Genomic DNA, 18,324 nt, shown 5'->3' on the forward strand with positions numbered 1-18,324 from the left:
ATCCTTAGTGTGGACAGGGTATGGCTCCTAGCAACGATCCCTGCATCTGCTTTGTCATCCCCAAGCACCTTGTAAGGACTGGATCATGTAGTTAAAAGAGTCCTGTGTGTGTGTCCAAGGGCAGCGTGCGTCCAGGCAGTGAGCAAACCAGGGCTGAGTTCTCACTCTGGGGTGTTGGGGCAAGAGCTGGTTGGTTGTCACGCCCCTAGTGCTAGAGACTGCAGGGTGGAGGGGAGGAGGGCAGTTGTAATGCCAGGACGGGGACAGCACCATGGAGAGATAGCAAAGCTATGTCAGCAGCTGGGCAGCACTGGGCATCAGCTGGCGACGTGGGCAGGAAGGTGGAGGGGTCACAGTTCTGCTGGGGCGCTTCCTTATCCTTTCATTCCTAGGAGAAGATGGCCAGAGGAGTTGGACCTTGGAGAATTAGAAAAAGGAGTAGTTGCTAAGTCATAGCCTTGGCATGAAGTAATGGTGAACAGAGGGAGTGTGTTTATCCTTTGTTTAGACGTCCAGTGTGAGGGCTTAGGGATGGCCTCGCTCTTTAGTGGTTGAGCTCCCTGACTTCTGGGGTCTGCATAGGACCTCATGTGTGCAGGATGGTCTTTGCAGGGTGGTGGGTCTCTGCAGGACAGCATGGGCCCCTCATTGGCCTCTACTCCATACCTGTCTGTTGGGGATATTCTATCTGGGAGACAGAGAGGTGGCCCCTCAGAGAACAGTGTACATTGCTAATTGGTCAGAATTGCACCATTGCCAGACCCATTGGTAAACGAAGGTAGCGTGTCTGTTTAAAATGCCATTAACACTGCTTCTCCTTAACGTCCTGGGCAACCTTCCACATGCCACAGCACCCTCAAAAGAAGTTCCCAGCTTTAACTGTTGAACCCCACCCTGCTAAATTTTGGAGTTTGTGACTTGACAAGATTGCCCAAGACTCTTGCTTTCCCCCAGTCTAGGTTTAACTTAACCAGGAAATTTACTGTTAATATTTAAATCATATACCATCTTTGTGAACTCCAATATTACCTAACGTTGTGGCTGACTGACACCGTACAATGAGGAAAATTAAGTGCCTAAGAATTATCTCCAACTAATGATATATTTATGCATTGTAGGTTACTTTGAATTTCTAGACTGTTAAGAGTTGTTTAATAGGTTAATAGTTTTAATCTATTAATCTAATCTTTTCTACTTGACTATTTATTAAAATATATCAGTGATACATGACAGAAATGGAAGTACAGATCATTTTGAGGGTTATTAAGGAACAGGTGATGATGTGAGGATTTGAAACTTAGGCGGAATAGTAAGTACCAGGCATGGGCCTCGCTCCTGTCATTTGCGGACACTGTGGTTCTGCTCCATGTTCTCTCTCTCAGCTCTCCCAGGCTAGTGATGAAGCTATGACCTTTTTCCCACGATGGCTTCTCTCCTTGTCACTAAAAGCTGGAGACTCTTTATGTCTGAAGGACATGTTTGAGCACAGCAGCATTTGAAAACACATCAGGGAGAGAGAGAGGCAGGTGGCAAGCGCAGAGCCCAGGCGCCTTTCTCTGTGGAAGAGGTGGGACCCTTCATTCCTTTCCTTTATTTCATGTCGGTGTGACTTTTAGCATCTAAAATGTGCCCAGTTCTGTCTGTATGCTCAGGAAACAGCAAAAAACAAGGGAGTATATTCCCTGTGTCTTGGGACTTCTGGCATTTAGTCATGTATGTGTTCATTCATTCAACAGGTGTTTTTATTATTTTCTCTTGAGAAGAGAAAACAAAAATTATCCAAATGGTTAAAAGCCTAGACTTTGGAGTCAGACAGACCTGGTGGAATTTTGATTCTGTCACTAGGAAGCAGGGAGACTGTGAAAAGTCACTCTGTTTCTCCAGTCCTTGGTTTTCTTATCTAGAAACCAAAAAATCCCATATCAGGCATTGCACAGAAGGATGAGATGGTGTAGGTGTGGGCCCGGAGCACCGCCCCAGCATGTCATAAGCACTCATTACACCACAGCTGCCCTTGGCATCACTCTCTGTGTTATTTGTGCCATTTGCATCATGACTGTCCTCACCAGCATCACCTCCACCCTGCATGCTGGTGTGTTTTGTCTGGTCATTTTCTGTTTGTGTCATTGAGCAGACCTTAGCTGACACCTGCCAGAGGACCAAGCACAAGGATACAAAAAGCAGTGGGTAGAGCCCTGGTCTCTGGAAATCTTCCAGAACCATATGGAATTAATTAGAGGGCAGATTTGGAGTTCTAACAGGGCAGGAGCCTGTTAGAAGCAAAGAGGAGCGTTTCCAGAACCGCTGGTGGGAGAATGAAGGCTCCTGAACTGTTAGTGGGAGCAGCCACCCTGTCGCCTTAGGGCCTGAGTGTATGCTGATTGGTGGTCATGATGGCGACCCTGCACCCTCAAGAGAGAATGTCAAGGTATTACCAGGCTGCTGTATCTTGGCATTTCAGAAAGTGGGAAGAGTGTGTTACATTTTAGAAATTTTTCATCAGTTCATCAGAAAGGATAAAGATATAACTTTGACACTCAAGAAATAAGCTTCACTTATTCAGAAAATTGGCTTCTGTGAAACATCCCTAACCTATGTTATAATAAAGGCCAGATGAATGAGTCATTCTTCAGTTCTGAATATTCAGTGAAGCAGGAAAACCATCGACAGTTACAGTGATGTTGATGGATTGATCACAGAAAAGTCTTGCCTGGATCAGAGGCTACAGGTGCCTCCAGTGCCATGCTGGCATTGACCTTTCCTGGGCTTGGTCCTTGGTTCACTTGGTAAACAGCCTCTTGCTGACCATCACCCATGTGCCAGCCACTGCTCTGAGTATCATGAACCAAGGAGACAAAATCTTGTCCTCTAGCTCACGTTCTAGTTGAGGAAACAGACAGTAAAGTGGACAGAGAGGTAACAGAGTACACCGAGTGGGTAAATACTGGGGAACCATAAATGAGTTTCAGCCAAGGAGTGACATGACCTTGGTTGCTCTGTCCAGTGTGGATTCCAGGGCAGTGTATAGGGGAAAGGGAGATTGGCTGTGAGATGTTTACAAGACAGGAGAAAGGGGGGGTGGCTTGAACTGAAGTGGTGGTCGTGGTATGGTAAGGAATGGTTGGATTCTGGACATACTTTGAAGGCGGATCTGGCTGGATTTGCTGGTATATTCATAGTCGGGAGTGACAGAAGAGGAAGAGTCAAAGATAGTTCTAGAGTCTGGGCAGCAGGAGCTGGAAGGTTGGAATTACTGTTAGCTGAAGTGGAGATGATGGTGGTTATTTGATTGTATTGTCTTAGATGGCAGGTTTTAGCCAGAAGAGTGCTGGGCTAGGAAGCAGAATTGTTTTCCTCTCTTGGGAGAAGAGATGTAGCAGCAGGGTTTTGGACTTGTTAAATACGAGGTGCCTGTTAGGTATCCAGATGGAGGTTTCAAGCAGTTGGGGGTTTATGCAGGTCTGGAGTTCGGTGGGGGGCCAGTCCAAGCTGGAGATACAATTTGGGATTCAACACCATGTAGTTAATATTTAGAACTAAAGAGTCTAGCTGTATAGTCCCAGCTACTTGGAAGGCTGAGGTGGGAAGACCGCTTGAGCCCAGGAGTTCAAGACCAGCCTGGGCAACATAGAAAGACTCTCTTTAAAAAATGAAAATTAAAAAAGATAAATAAGAAATAAAAGTACAAGTCTCCATGAGATCGCTTAGGAAATGAGTGTGGATAAAAATACAATAGGTTCTAGAACTGATCCTTGGGGCATATCAAGTTGTAAGAGCTGGAGTGATGAAGAGGATTCAGCACAAGAGATAAGAATGTCCAGAAGGCCGGAGATCCACCAGGGGAGCACAGAGCAAAGTGAGCAACCAGCTGGATGGAGGAGAGGCAGGCCATGTTAGAGGCTGCTGCTAGAGGCAGAGTCCGACGGGGACTGAGAAGGGACCACTGGATTGAATAGAGTGGCAGCCACTGGAGACCTTGAAGAGAAGCTGTGGTGGAGTAGTGGAGGCAACAGCCCATTGGACTTAACAGTTATTACCAAGGAGCCGGCCTGCCAATATCAGCAAATAGATAAGAATCACTTGCACTCATATAGTCAGTGAGTGGGAAGTGGGTAGAGTTGGAGGACTTGGTCAGTGGGCAGAGTCCTGTCTGGATGTGTGTTAATGCATTTAACATCCCATGCATGCATGCATTCATGGAGAGTGTATTTAAGCTCAGCTGGAGAGCAGTTCACCTTCATTCCTAAGGAGTGGAGTTTTATTCTAGGGGGAGTTAACCAAGTCATTATTTACACACTGTAATTAGAGGCTTTTTTCTCCACCCTTAACATTGTTAAAGGTGGGTGAGGTGTGAGAGTAAATGGCACCCTTTGGAGGAAGAGCAGGGGTCCTCAGGCTGAGTCTTGGGACGTAGATGTACGCCTTGCTCCCCCTCTGTGTAAGGAGACACACATGTCTTGCTGGGTAAAGTTCTGGCCTGTGTAAGGGCCTTAGATGTCTCTGATCCCTGCTCACTCATTGTGCACATTGGAAAACTGAGTCTTGGGGTAGGCAGCCAGCCCAGGGAATCAACAGCAGAAATAGGACTGAAGGCCAGGGTGCTGAGCATTGCTCACGTCTACTATGACTTGGTAGAACTCTTAAGCATCATCATTATTGGCAGAATGATGTGGAAACTGTGCCCAGAAACAAAGCCGCCATACTCCCAGGCACCTAGCATCAGGGCGGACTCTCCTCTGACATGCCTGAAATGGCATCTCTTTGGGCTTCAGATCCACTGGTAAGTTACTTGGTTGCATTGTCTTAGGCTGCAAGCTTTAGTGACAACAGTACCAGAACAGGAGCCAAAAAGTTTTCAGACTAAGCTCATCACTAAAAATTGTGTGACCTTGGCCATGCCTTTCCTTCACCTGTGTGCACTGAGTTCTTTCTGTGGGCCAGGCATTGTGCTAGGGCTGGGGATATAGACATGAATAAAACAGACCCGGGCCCCGTTCTGTGCCTTGGTTTCCCCATCTGGCCACGGAGCTCTTGTCAATGCCAAGCATGATGAGGTGGGCATGAGCTCTGTGAAGAACTGTCAGGTGAGACCCAGAGAGAGAGAGAGAGACATTTGTTTGTTTCTGAAACCTCCCCGGGCAGAGTCTGCAGGCACATTGGCCTGGCCAGACACAGTAGCAGGATTGAGCAGGAACAAAGCAGAAGAAAACCAAAGGTAGTGGAAGATAGTAATTTACAAACTTCACTGCTTTGGAGCTGTTTCTTCAAATTTCATGTTACACCATGTATTGGTTGCCTATGGCTGCTTTTGCTCCTGTTGCTTCACTACAATAGCAGTTTATACACTCCTTGGGGTCAGAAGTCTGAAATGAAGGTGTTGGAAGAGTGAGATTCCCTCTGAAAGCCCCAGGGGAAATCTGATCTTTGTCACTGCCTGCTTCTGGTGGCCATCGGCATTCCTCGACTTGTGGCCACATCATTCCAGCTCTACCTCTCGGGGCGCATTGCCTTCTCTCCTCTGTAACTTCTCTTCTGTCTGTCTTAAATCTCCCTTTGTCTTATGAGGACACTTACTGCATTTAGGGGCTACTCAGATAATCCAAGGATGAGCCTAATCTCAAGATCCTTCACTTAATTACATCTGCAAAGACCCTTTTTCCAAATAAGGTCATATGCACAGAATCAGGAGATTAGGATGTGGACATATCTTTTAGGGGGCTACCGCTCACCCCACCACAGAGAGAAAGAGGCCTAAATCTGTATACATCAGGCAAAAAGCAAAGCTGTGTGTATTGAAGATGGGGAGTCTTAGAGCCTTGCTCAACACTACCATCCCCATTCCAGCCTCATGGGTGCATCTAAGAGCCATTGCTATGGAACCCCTAGACCTTCAAGGAACATACTTTGAGAATCATTGCCTTAGAGAAAGGCCAGCTGTCTTAGGGAACTTCTTGGGCAGGGATCCCCTTGGTCTGGCTTCTCTCCTGGTCAGCTTGCACAATTAGTAACCGGTGACCACGGATAGCAGGTACTTACTGAAAAATATCCTTTTAATGTTTGACTTTGGATTTTATGTTGAAGTGTGACTCGGGTTAAATATAAAATTCATAGCATATCTTGAGCAACTATTTTGTAGTTATCTATATATAAATCTATTTTACAGCGACACAAATAGAATAGATTATGGAGTGTCAGCATGTAGATAGATTCCGAGTGCTTTTTCACTAATATACCTAATGATTCGTGCTGAGAATATCCAAGGGCTCCACTGTACATTTAAATGGATATAATTAAAATAATGAGCTCTATTTTAAAAAATGATATATGAAAAAAAAATTTTAAAGAAGTTAGAAGGAGCTGCGCCACTAACTCAAAGTGATATAAGTACTTATGTGATTCCATTGTTATTAGGACACCTAATTAAATGCAAAGCATTTGAGAAAAGCAACATTTGGGTTTGTAAATCTAAAGCCTAGAAGTCGGGGGCGAGGGGAAGAGAAGGAAGTTGCCCATGCCTTTGTCGCGGCAAGGACTCGGGGGCATCACGTTTAAGGGAGTGGATGGTTATGTGCTGTTGTGCCCGTGGGTGATAGAGGGTGGCTCACTGGTCCCCATCTTCTGTGAACTCAGTCAGGAATCTGGCTGGTCACGCAGCTGCAGCTGTATTTGCCAGTGTGAACTCTGATTTGTTTGGGGTGGGAGATGTGGGTACAAGAACTAGGGAGAGGCTGCCTTTTCATGGGAAAAAGACATTCCCCTGTGCCTGACTCTCAGCTCCAGGTGTTAAGGGCACTCCAGGTGACCTGAGACTCTGGTGGTTCAGTGGAAAGAACAAAGGATGGGGAGTCTGGAGATGCGAGTTCTGGTTTTGACTCTGCTACACGTCCTGTGCCTTTGGATAGGGCCTCTCCTGTGATGCATTCATGCCTGGCCCTGTTGCAAATGGGTGACCATCCATTCTAGAAACCCATCTCAAGGATATATTCTGCTGTTCCAGTGGGCCCCGGGGAGTCTTAGGAGGCATATGTCCCAGTGCCTGCTTACTAGAAGGCAGGTATCCTTTTGGTCATTCAGCAAATACCATATTTATGGAGCACCTAATATAGGCCTACTGGATGCTGGGTATAAGAGGCGCACAACACTCCCGAGGGCCCCACCTACTCTTAGGACAAGTGCAGTTTGGTGAGCCAGTGTACAAAGCATTTTCAGGTAACAGGGCTGCAAAGGAAATAAAACAAGGCAATGAACTAGAAGCTACACTGGAATTTCGGGAAGGGGACGAGCGAGTCAAGATGAGTTCATTAGGACACAATGGGAGGATGGCTGTCAGAGTCACCTGTGCAAGGAAGACGTGGCATTCAGAGAGGGAGTCTGACTCTGCCTCAAGCAAGCCAGGAAGGCTTCCCAGAGGTGAGGATGTCATCATGAACCAATGTCATCATCATGGCAGCTGCCATTCATGGAAATGCACTCTGTGCCCACCCCTGCAGCTAGCAAGAGTCATGGTCCTTCTTTAACAGACAAGGAAACAGAGGCTCAGAGAAGGGAGTCTCTTGCCCAGGGCTGCAGGGTGTAGGGGTGGGCAGATGAGAGTTCCACCCAGCCTGCCTGGCTCCTACAGCTCCTCCCTTCCCCTACCAGGATGCCATGATGGTGGTGAGGACTTGAGAGCAGGAAGGGACACTGAATCTTTTCAGGTGGCATGGTCAGGTGCTCTTGAGGCCTCGGGCTGAGTTTCAGAACACTGGCTGTGAAGAAAGCCGAGGTAAGGGAGTTCTGGGCCGGGGGCCCCATCTGTTTCCTCTCCTTCCATCTCTTTGCCTACTGAGCCTCAGGGCCCTGACCATTAGCACCCATGAGGTCTTAGCTAGGAAATGGGAATGTCAGCTGCTTTCTTTACCCCCCGGCTTGAATGTGAATACACATCGTTCACTATCAGCTTCATCAGCATGACCACCTCTGCAGCACTAGACAAAGTCCTTACTCCCTCACCGCCTGTATCCCATTACTGAACAGTGGTAGAGCTGGCATTCAAACCCTGGTTGGTCTAACTCCACAGCCCATGCGCTAAACACCTATGCCACATAAACTTGCATCTTCTGCACATGCCCCTCCCCTGCCCGCCATAAAAAAGACAAAGGTAGATAACAATGAAACATCTCCACTGGGAGCTTACTGTTCTAGGTCCTACGTAGACATTACTTTGTTTTGCCTCACAGCACTGTGGGGTAGGTACCGTGTTTGTCCCCATTGTTTGGATGTGAAGACTGAGGCTTGGAGGAGTCAAGTCACTTATGTAGGAACCTGCAACTGGCAGTTTTGAGATTTGACCCTAGGATGATCCAACTTCCAAGTCTGGTGCTTGGCCCATTTCACTCCAGCCAGGCCATCAGCCAGTCTGCTCCAGTGCTTCTCTTGACGGGGAGCTCACCACCTCCAGGGGATCCCCTTTTCTTGTTGGCCAGCAGTAGGAATCACCTCCCTCTCTAAAGCCACAGCTGTCCTCTTGTGACGTGCTGGACCTGCCAGTTCTAGTTATGTCTTAGGCCTCACAGAACTTGAGACTTCTTTGCCTTGTGGTGTCCTGCAGCTAGGCGGGCCCGTGCTCCCCTCTGGGGGGCCAGGGGGACTCTTGCTCATGATATTATCCCCCACAAAGGTGGCAGCAGCCCGGAAAGCCAGGGAACCTACTGTCCTCCTGCTCACCCACGAGCATCTTGGTTTTGGCTCTGTTCTGGATGCTGAAGGTCAAAGGTGGGTGATGTGGGGCAGCCTCGGCTGTGGGTGAGGAGGCTTCCCTCTGCGAGTTTGTCTCCCAGTCCAGGCTGCCTGCATCAGGTCCCCGTCCCACCTCGTACCACCCACATGACTTTGGGTACGTTATTTCACCTCTCAGTGCCACAGTTCCTAGACTGTAAAGTGGAGCTAATACCAAGATTTCGTTCCTAGAGTCATTGCTAAGGATGAAAGGAATTAGTATGTTAGAACACTGCCGGGCACATAGGAGGCTCTGTTTAAGTGTTTCTTAAGTAAATTAAGGAAATGAATTCTGAGGCGATTGAATCATGCAGTTTTACACTTTCTTACCGTGGAGAAGGGCAAAAGCTCAGACAGTGTCTGGTGGCCCTGATGGGACAGACACATGAGGAGGAGGCGCCCCTGGGTGCCAAAGAAGCTCTAACAGTGTGTCATTATTAACAATGGTCGTGGTGACCATGTCTTGAGAGCAGTTCCAGGCCAGGCGCTGTGCTGAGTACTTTCCATGTGTTCGTTGATTAAAATCTGCATGACAACCCTGTTACCTCCATTTTGCAGACGGCGAAACCAAGGCTCAGAGGTTAGGTGGCTGGCTTGAGGCCCACAGCGAGGAAGTGGTTGGCGCGATAGCCCTTGCTCCTGACTGGTTTTCCCAGCATGCCCTTGCACTCGTGTTCCGTCCATCTGAGTCCTGGCCTCCTGTATGAGTCATCTTGGGCTGCTGTTAACAGAATGCTGTGGGATGCCATGCCTAATGCCATAGGCTTAATTAAACAACAGAAATGTATTTTCTCACAGTTCTGGAGGCTGGAGGTTGTGATTAGGTTGCCAGCACGGTTGGGTTCTGGTGAGGGCTGCCTCCTGGCTGTAGAGGGTCGCCCTGTCACTGTGTCCTCACGTGGGGGAGAGAGCAATCTCTTTCCCTTCTTACAAAGCCACCAATCCCCTCATGAAGGCCCCTCCAGTGTGACCTCATTTAACCACACTTAACCTCCCAAAGACCCTTTCTTCAGATCCAGTCACACTGGGGGTTAGGGCTTCACCATCTGAATTGGGGGCACATAGTTCAGTCCATAGCACCTCCCCATGGCCTTCCTCTGTCCTCTCCTCATTAGCTGGGGGCTCCCCTCTCTATCTTTGCTCAGTTTCCCAACCTTTCTCCACCTTGGATGAAAGCTGAAGCTGGGAAGGACAGCAGATGTGATTAAACCCATGCTCCTGTGATAAACAGGGCTGTTGAAACCCAAAGAAGAGAAAAGTCTTGCCCAAGGCCACACAGCAAGCCCATTGTAGATGGAGGACTGGAGCCTGGGTCCCTGAGTCCCAGTCCAGTGGCCCTGCTGTGCTGCAGTTGGAATGCTGGCATTCTCTGTTTTGAGTCTGGGCCTTGAAATTCACAGACCATGCTCTCCTCTGGCACAGTGGAGAGGCTAGCATGGCCAGGGCAGTGTCTCTGGGCCTGGAACATGACTCGATTTCCCAGTATGTGCAAGCCTCAGCTTCCCCACCTCACAGACAACAGTCATGGGGATGCTTCCCTTGTCAGAAGGATGTGGGGCCCTTAGGATGATAACATGGACAGCTGTGTTGAAAGGAGGATGCTTCAGGAGTGGATGGCAGGGACCTGGCTTCCTGCCTTGGCCTGTCCCCAATTTTATGTCTGGCCTGAGCAAGTCACAGCTCTGCTTTAGTCCTTAGTGTCCCCCTCATGAGGGACGTTGAGTGACCCACGCCCTGCCCTCTTCAGAACTGACATCATTACCTCGAGGATGTTTTCCGATGTTTAAAGAGCCCCCTCCATGCCACAGTGTTGGCTCCATGACATCTCAACCTAGTGAGTCTTTTTGAATTGGAGTTTCCCGTTTGTAAAGCAGGAGCGGGGAAGAGCCTGGACAAGATCCCAAGCCTTCTTGCCTAGGAACGAAGGGAACAGCACTGGATATCGCGTACATCAAAGCACGAAACCCTTACCGCCCAAAGCGTAGTTTGAGGCCCAGCAGCCCTGGCCCCACCTGAGAGAGCTTGTTAGAAATGCAGAATCTCTGAGTGAGGCATGGTGGCATGGTGCCTGGAGTCCCAACCACTCGGGAGGCCGAGGTGGGAGGGTCGCTTGAGCCCAGGAGTTTGTTTGTGTTCTGCCTGCGCAACATAGTGAGACCCATCTCTAAAAAGGAAAAGAAATGCAGAATCTCAGGCCCTACCCCAGAACAGCTGAGCCAGAATCTGCATTTTTTTTCAAGATCCCCCCCAGCTGATCTGTATGCACACTGAGGTCTAAGTACTGATTTCAGCCAGCTGGAGGTGCCCTTTTAGGTCACTTGTAACTCCAGTTATGATAAGTGCAAACAAATAAGTGGCAAGTGAGGCAACTGGGCACATCTAGACCTCTTGAGACCTCAGCTTCCCCAACTGTAAAATGGGTGGAGTTGGAGGCTTTCTTGCTCAATGGTTTTCAAACTGTGTTCCTTGAAGCCTCAGGGTTCCCTGGAAGAGCCTCAGGGGTAGCCGTGGGGGTTGTGTGGGAGGCTAAGGGGGCCGGGGGCCCTAGAATTCACTATGCACACAGCCTGGCATGTCCCTGTGGTGCCATGGGCTGGTGGGCTCCTGTGTTGATCTGGAGGAAGAAGGTATTGAACGGAGTTTCTTCTTTCCCAGGGAGCGCTTGAAGCGCAGCCAGAAGAGCACCAAGGTGGAGGGCCCAGAGCCAGTGCCAGCCGAGGCCTCGCTGAGTGCCGAGCAAGGAACGATGACGGAGGTGAAGGTGAAGACAGAGCTGCCCGATGACTACATCCAGGAGGTGATCTGGCAGGGCGAGGCCAAGGAGGAGAAGAAGGCGGTCAGCAAGGATGGGACCAGCGACGTGCCTGCCGAGATCTGCGTGGTGATCGGCGGCGTCCGCAACCAGCAGACCCTTGGTGAGTGCCCAGCGTCTGTGGTCAGGGTGGAGACCAGGGTGGGAACATGGAGTCAGAGTCCTGGGGAAAAGCGGCCTGGCGCCTCTGCCCCCTTCCTGGCTGAGAGAACCTTTGCTGGCTTCCCTCTGCATTCAGGGAGAGATCTCAGCTTCTTAGACTTGCCTTTGCTTGTGCAGTTTCCGGCTGGAGAGCGCTTCTGTTTCTGCTGGGCAGCAGAACCCTATCCATCCATCAATACCCTGTTTAAGTCAAATGCCTGGAACCTTCCGGGGGCCCAGTGAATCCCTTTGTCTGTCTCAGGGCTCCCATACCCCTGGGGGGTCTCCCACAGCCCTTACTGCTCGGTGTCCTAAATGCCTCTCTGCTGGAGATCCCAGTGCCGGTGCTGCTCAGAGCAGTACCCCATCAGGATTGGATCAGTGACAGATGGCACTTCCCCTGCCTCTTCTGGCCTGGGCCAGGCCCAGAGGAGCTCTGTGGAAACTCACATCTTAGCAACAATTTCTCTCCCTCCGGTCTCCAGCATGCACCAGGGATACCCCTCAGGGGCCCCCTGCACTGCTGCCAGGTTCACAGACTCAAATGCCCATGAGGCCCAACAAATATGTTTATTTAGCATAAATAGAGATGAGCCAACAGGACAGGTGGTGGGGACCATGTCCAGTTAGAGAAGGCACGCCGCGTGTGTGGAGGGCGGCTGCTGCTCAGCTGCTGCACTGACGGTTGCTGGGTGGGGATACGGCTCAGCGTTGCCACATCTCTGGACAAATCACACGCCAGAAATGAACATTTTGATGGGAATTCTTTTGGCTTTAAATGTTGCAACCAATTGACCTTTTGAAATCTGCCAAACAAAACATGTCTGTGGGTCAGAGTCCCTGTGGGCACAAGTTTGCAACCCCTGGTCTGTGACATAAAGTCCTCATTCCTGGCGTGGAGGCCTTGCCTGGTCTGGCTCCAGATTTCTGCTTCCCTCCACTCCCTACTCCATGTTTCCAAGGCTCAGTGTGTTCTTAGAAGTGCTGCTGCTGTCCAAGCCTCTGCTGCCTTCCTGGTCCAGCTCTGGCTCACCTCCTACTGACTTCCAAGCACCTCCATCTTCCTGGCGCACATCCTGTATGCGGCACCATGGCCTCGTTTCTGCAAGTTTAGACTCAAGTCCTGGTGCCTTTTCTTCCCAGTTGTTGAGAATCATCCTTAAACTCCCTTTGCCAGCTGTTCCCTGCTGGTTGTGGCCATCTCAGCCCCACCTGGGTCATGGCAGCATCCTGCTAACAGCCATGCTTTTGCAGCTTGCCTGCCCCCTGCCCTGGCTGCCAGGAGGCCTTGGCCAAAACAGAACACCGACCATGTTGCTCCCCTGCTTATACCCTGGGACTCCCTACTGTCTCTAGAGTCGAGGCCAGAGCATTAAGAGCCTCCATAACCTGAACCTTCTAGCCCCATTTCTTGCTTCTGGTCTTCCCAGACCTTTCATTCCAGTGTAGTCTGCTCTTCCTGTACTTTGTGTATGCTGTTGCCTCTCCCAGGAATGCCTTCCCCCATTTCCACTTGCCCAAATCCAACCTATCCTTCGAGGCCAACTCCAGTGCCACCTCCTCCCAGAAGACTTCCTTGATCTCTTCTGGTGAGAGTGGGCTGTTTCTACCCTGCTCCTCAGTTGGTGCACTTTCTACTTTCTTTTTAGATTAGAGGGGCCCTGTCTGTGCCTGCCTCTTCCATGAAAGTGGAAACCCCTAGAGATTGGGGCTCCAGGACCTGCCTGATTTATGTCTCCATGTTCCCTGCTTCCACTCTGTAATACCAAACAAAGTATTGGTTTCTGGGAGTGGTAATGTTGACACTGGTGCTGCAGCTGTCAAGGTGGGGCCAGGTTATGCTGCAGTAACAAAAGATCCTGAAAGGTACAAGATATCTTAGTAGCTCAAAACCACAGCAGTTTATTTCTTGTTCACACTACACGTCCATTGTGGGTCAAGAGGGACCTCTGCTCCCCTCTGGTCCCAGACTAAAAGCTGTCATGTAGAATGCTGCCAGCCAAGTGACAGAGGGAAAGCACGCTGTGGAGAGACTTACGCTGGCAATTAACTGCTGCAGCCAGAGAGAGAGGTGTTAATTCCGCTCACAGTCATTGGTTGGAACTAGTCACACGGCCCCACCCAACCTCAAAGAGGCTGGGAAATGCCGTCCTCCCATGTGACAGAATAGGGGTGAACCAGGAATGTTTGGGGAGGCGCAGGAGTGACTTAGGCCAGTGTGGAATGAGAGAGTGAGTCTTTTCAGGGGCCTGCGCTGACGTTTCTCCATCAGTATTCACTCCCTGAGGCCAGGGACTGTGTTAATCACTGGTGGATTTGTTAGTTAATGGAGAAGACCTGCACTTGCTCTCTTTGGTATCTGTGTGTGTTAAGACTCATTAGACCCAGTAGCTGTTTCTGCCCTTCACCAGGAGATGCCCAGGAAAGGATGGTTGAATCTGAATCCTGGGATAGAGCCAGCAGTCTGGATTCAGTGGGGAAAGCTCTGGGCAGCTAGGCCAGGGAAATGCTGGGAATCTTCCTTAGGCCAGCTGCCTGCACAGTGAGAGCCCCAGGACCCGTGAGCCTCATGCCAGCCACCGATGCTGATTCCAGCTGAGCTGCTGCTCAGCAGCAGGGTCCTTGGCCTCACTGTACCTTAGTGTCCTCCTGTGTTACATGAGGCATGGCCCCTGTCCCGGCCACCTCATGGGCGTGGCCATCCAAGGCGGCAGTGGAAGGAAACAGTGTTGCCTGAGGAGAATGAGCTGGGATCCTTGGACTGGGAGTGAATCCAGGCTCCATGACTTAACTGGTGTGCTACCTCAGGCCCTGTCTGTCTCAGTTCTTACAATTATGAAATCATCAGGCTATCTGAGTATTCAATGAGATAATGTATGTGAAGTGCTCAACATTGTGCTTAGTAAACAAGTAGCTAGTATTCTCAGTACTACTAATATTAACAGTATAAAATGCCTCTTCAAGAGGAAGGGATAGTCATTGTTTCTGCTTTTTCCCATCTAAGAAGTAAGCTATTGTGATATATTGAAACGATGGGATGGGGAATAAAGTCGGTGCAGGATAAGGTATTAGAAGACAGGGATTCCAAGTGGGCTTCAGTTTTCTCCCCTGGGAACTGGACTGGGAAACCTGTCTGGACCTTGGTGTTCCTTCTAGTACTGCTTCCCTCCAATTCAGGGACTTTGAGGATCTTGTAATCTGCTTTGGGCAGACCCCTGTGAAAAAGATGTAGAAGCCCCAGTGACAAGGGACGTGTGGAGCTGCCATGGTGTAGCCCTACGGAAGCAGGGCCAGAGTGCTCCCTGCTGTCACGGCAGCTCATCTTGCATGCTGGAAGTCAGGCTTTTCTGCCTAGGGATGGGGGTTTTCTTCCAAGGGTCAGGCTCAGAGGAAGCTGGCTTGGCCTCATCACCAGGAAAGAAAGGCATTTAAAAACAAAATCAGTGTTAGAGTTGAACCTTTTGGACTCCTCTCATCTCAAGATGGCAAGTAGATTTTGTGGGTTAAGTCCAAGCAGTTGCTACTGGCTGTAAGGAGTTCTCTGTTGAGGATTCTAAAGGGTGGCATGATTGATTGTTGGTGTCTGCCCTGGATGTAGAAGTGGGCAGTGGAGCTATGCATGCTGTCAATTTGGTACCCATGACCTCCTTATTTTATAGAGGGGCAGACAAGGCCTGAGGAAAGGATGAGAGTTGCCCAGGGTCACCCAGGAAGTTGGTGACATTTTCTTTCGTGTTATGAAGGGCCTACCACAACACCTACCTCCTACCTGCTTCTGAAAGTGTATGAAGGAGGGAAAGCTCTCCCAGGGACCTGGCTGGGGTGGGGTGCTGGTTAGAGCTTGCTTTTAAGTGAGCCCCTGCTGCAGTGTGCATTCGTTGTCCTGGTCACCGGGCATGGGGGAGTTAACGTGTTCCTGGGGCACTTGGCGGGGAGTGCTGGGTGCTGTGGTGCCCAGGGCCTCCTGAGTACTTCGCTAACCCAGCCTCGCTCCGGGCTCAGAGACGGGCTCTGTTGCTGAGTAGAAGAGTGTTCCTGTTCAGTCACCCAGTGCTGCGCCATGAGGGAGCCTCCCCGAGTCCACACTGGCCCTTTAATAGCCATCAGACAAACAATGTTCCCAGTGACACAAACATCATCCAAGGCACTTCCCGTGGGGGAGCCCGGGTCATGGACACACAGATGGCATTTGGCAGCTTCTCCTGCTGGAGTCAGGAGGGGCATCAGTGCCCAGGAGGCTGGCTGCCAAGTTCGCAATGGTTGCTGCTGCTTCCCTGCTGCCCAGAGAATTCCCTGTGCTGAGAAGGGTGTCTCTCACTCCGAGAAAGAAAGTCACTGCCATTGGAGCTGGTGCAGGGTTTGGGGGCAAGACCAAGAGCTTCCTTTTATAGTAAGAAGAGCAGAGATGATAGATACTAAACTTAATAACTTTGCTGGATAAAAGCAGAAATGAAAGAAAGGAAGTTAACAGACGCCTGCACCCATCTGACAGGCTGCAGGAACAGCTCTGTACAGCAGCCCCAAGAAGGAAGGGCAGACCACACTTGAGGTTTCAGGGGCTCCTCTAGGAGGAGGAGCAAACACAAGGCACTACCATTGCTCCTGCCGTGCCAAGGGCCTCCTGAGGACTTCGCTCACCCAGCCTCGCTCCGGGTTCATGGCAGTCCCATGTTCATGGCAGACACTGCGAATTGATTACTGTACATTGTCCAATGATGCACCTCAGAATCCTTCTCAACACAGTATGCCAAGAGGTCTCTGCCAGTCAGCTAGAATTGAAAAATTAGAAGTGGAAACCTACTTGCCATTCTTCTTGATGAAGATAAGGCAAGTTGGGTTTACAACAGTGAGAGCATCCAGCCCTTAGACTATTTCCTGGCTCTGAGAGATAAGGATGCCCGCATCCCATTATGGTGGTCCAGGTGTACTGTTAAGCAGTGGGTACTCTTTCCTATGCTGTGAAACCACTGGTCCTTAATCCTGAGGTGTTTACTAATGAGGGAGTCCAGGGAGAGCAGTAGGGGCCCAGAGACCCGAGACTTAACTGAGTTTCCTCAGTAGCAGTGCAGGAGACCGTGGAGGGAATGAGTGACCCAGACTTGACCCCTCTTCAGATGAGGGACAGGGACCAACTGGGTTATTCCCCGATAGTGGAGACCTGAAGAGGGGGATAATGGAATCTAAATATTCACAACTTACAGCATTTTGCAAGGTGCGCATGGAGCAGACACATTCCAGGGTGTCCTAGCCAATACGGAGAAGTCTCCAGGAGGGGATTTCAACTCAGTAAAAGGAAGGACTTCGTGTGATCATGGGAACTGTTTGGTAACTGGACATAAGCCTGTGAGGGAGTGAGTTCCCCGTCCTGACATAGGTGATCAGGGAGGGTCACTGGACAAAGTGCAGGAGCGGGAGTCAAGGATGAGATAGATGGGAGACTGGATTCTGCAAGGATGTTTCTAGGCAGCAAGCTTTCAGGACCGAGGTACAGAGGTGTTCTCACACACATAGGGCAGCCCAGAGAGCCAGGAAAAGAGGAGGAAGGAGCTCCAACCAGGAGGCAGCAGCCAGGCTATGGCGCTGGAAGGAGCAGCAGAAGAGCTTGACAGTCATTCAGACACAGCCACGTGGGTTTCAGCCTGTGACAGACCCAGGCAGCGTAGGTGCCAGGTCCTGCTTCATCGTGCCAGCTGATAGTTCGTTTCCTGTTTCAATAGGTTGTTGGCAGGGCCTCACACAAGAGCCTGCCAGAACCAACACTCAGCTCTTTGCTGCAGCCACTCGGAAAGGAGGAGTTCTGGCCACCCTCCCAGGCGCGTCCTGTCTCTGCTACTGACGCTTCCTCTTGGGGTCTGAAGGGTTAGAGGGTCCCTGTTAGAAAGGGCCCTTGGGCTGTAAGTCAAGAGCCCAGGGTTTACCCTACTGTGGGGACTTGAATAAGCCCCTTAACTTCTCTAAGCCACCGTGTCTTGAATGGTCAGTAGGTAGAATAAAAGTCTGCCCCTCTTTCCAGTAGAATTGTTGGGGGCAGAGTGACGTAATAGGTATGGAAGTGTTTTTAACGGGACAAAAAACGTAAAACCAGTACCACTGCTATTAGCTGGAACCTCAGGACATTGATGCCTCTGGGGTTACCTCTAGAGTGACAGGAACCTAAAAGGCCAAGGTTTTCAAACATTTGTTTTTGCTCAATACCTCCTAAAAGAATTTTGAAAACTGTATATTCTTTTTCACATGTTTGAGTTGCCATCTAACATTTTTATCCAAAGTTTAAATCATTGCAAAGGATATAATTTCCAGGATATTGTGTAAAAAAAAAAAAAAGGTGGCATTTTGGAAATAAAACTGTGAACCAATTTTCAAAATGTATCCAAGGGAATCCAAACACTACCACTATTTGATATCCACCATCATCACTTCAAAAACATATGAACAAGCCTATCTTTAACAGTCAGAAATTTTACATCTTTCCTTTTTCTCCTTGAGCTCATATTTCCAGTCCACTGCCCCCACAGGGTTTTATCCTAATGTAAAATATATTTTTTATGCTTGAAAGTCTTTTATTGATCACTGTTTCACACTCATCACCATAACAAGATGTACATAAATTGAAA

At 49.6% G+C, this 18,324-nt stretch overlaps 1 protein-coding gene across 50 annotated transcripts in view, besides 2 other annotated features; it reads left to right on the plus strand.

The window, feature by feature from the left end:
* The window catches only part of ZNF618 (zinc finger protein 618), a 180,285-nt gene that overhangs the window by 100,600 nt on the left and 61,361 nt on the right, over nt 1–18,324 (plus strand). For all 50 annotated transcript variants that reach the window (XM_005251692.4, XM_017014242.3, XM_017014241.3 and 47 more), the window contains exon 3: nt 11,413–11,672. In XM_005251692.4, coding sequence (XP_005251749.1) covers nt 11,413–11,672 — 260 coding nt within the window. The remainder of the gene's footprint in view (nt 1–11,412; nt 11,673–18,324) is intronic.
* Nucleotides 9,241–9,535: an enhancer, noted in NCBI's record as "tiled region #15709; HepG2 Activating non-DNase unmatched - State 22:ReprW, and K562 Activating non-DNase unmatched - State 10:DNaseD". NCBI's record gives its function as "activates a minimal TATA promoter and a strong SV40 promoter by Sharpr-MPRA in HepG2 and K562 cells {active_cell/tissue: HepG2 | K562}" and the evidence as "EXISTENCE:reporter gene assay evidence [ECO:0000049][PMID:27701403]".
* Nucleotides 12,350–12,850: an enhancer, noted in NCBI's record as "H3K27ac hESC enhancer chr9:116751538-116752038 (GRCh37/hg19 assembly coordinates)". NCBI's record gives its function as "activates a minimal SCP1, AML or CMV promoter by ChIP-STARR-seq in naive H9 embryonic stem cells {active_cell/tissue: H9 hESC(naive)}" and the evidence as "EXISTENCE:reporter gene assay evidence [ECO:0000049][PMID:30033119]".

This window comes from Homo sapiens, chromosome 9 (assembly GCF_000001405.40).
Source record: "Homo sapiens chromosome 9, GRCh38.p14 Primary Assembly".
Classification (NCBI taxonomy): Eukaryota; Metazoa; Chordata; class Mammalia; order Primates; family Hominidae; genus Homo; species Homo sapiens.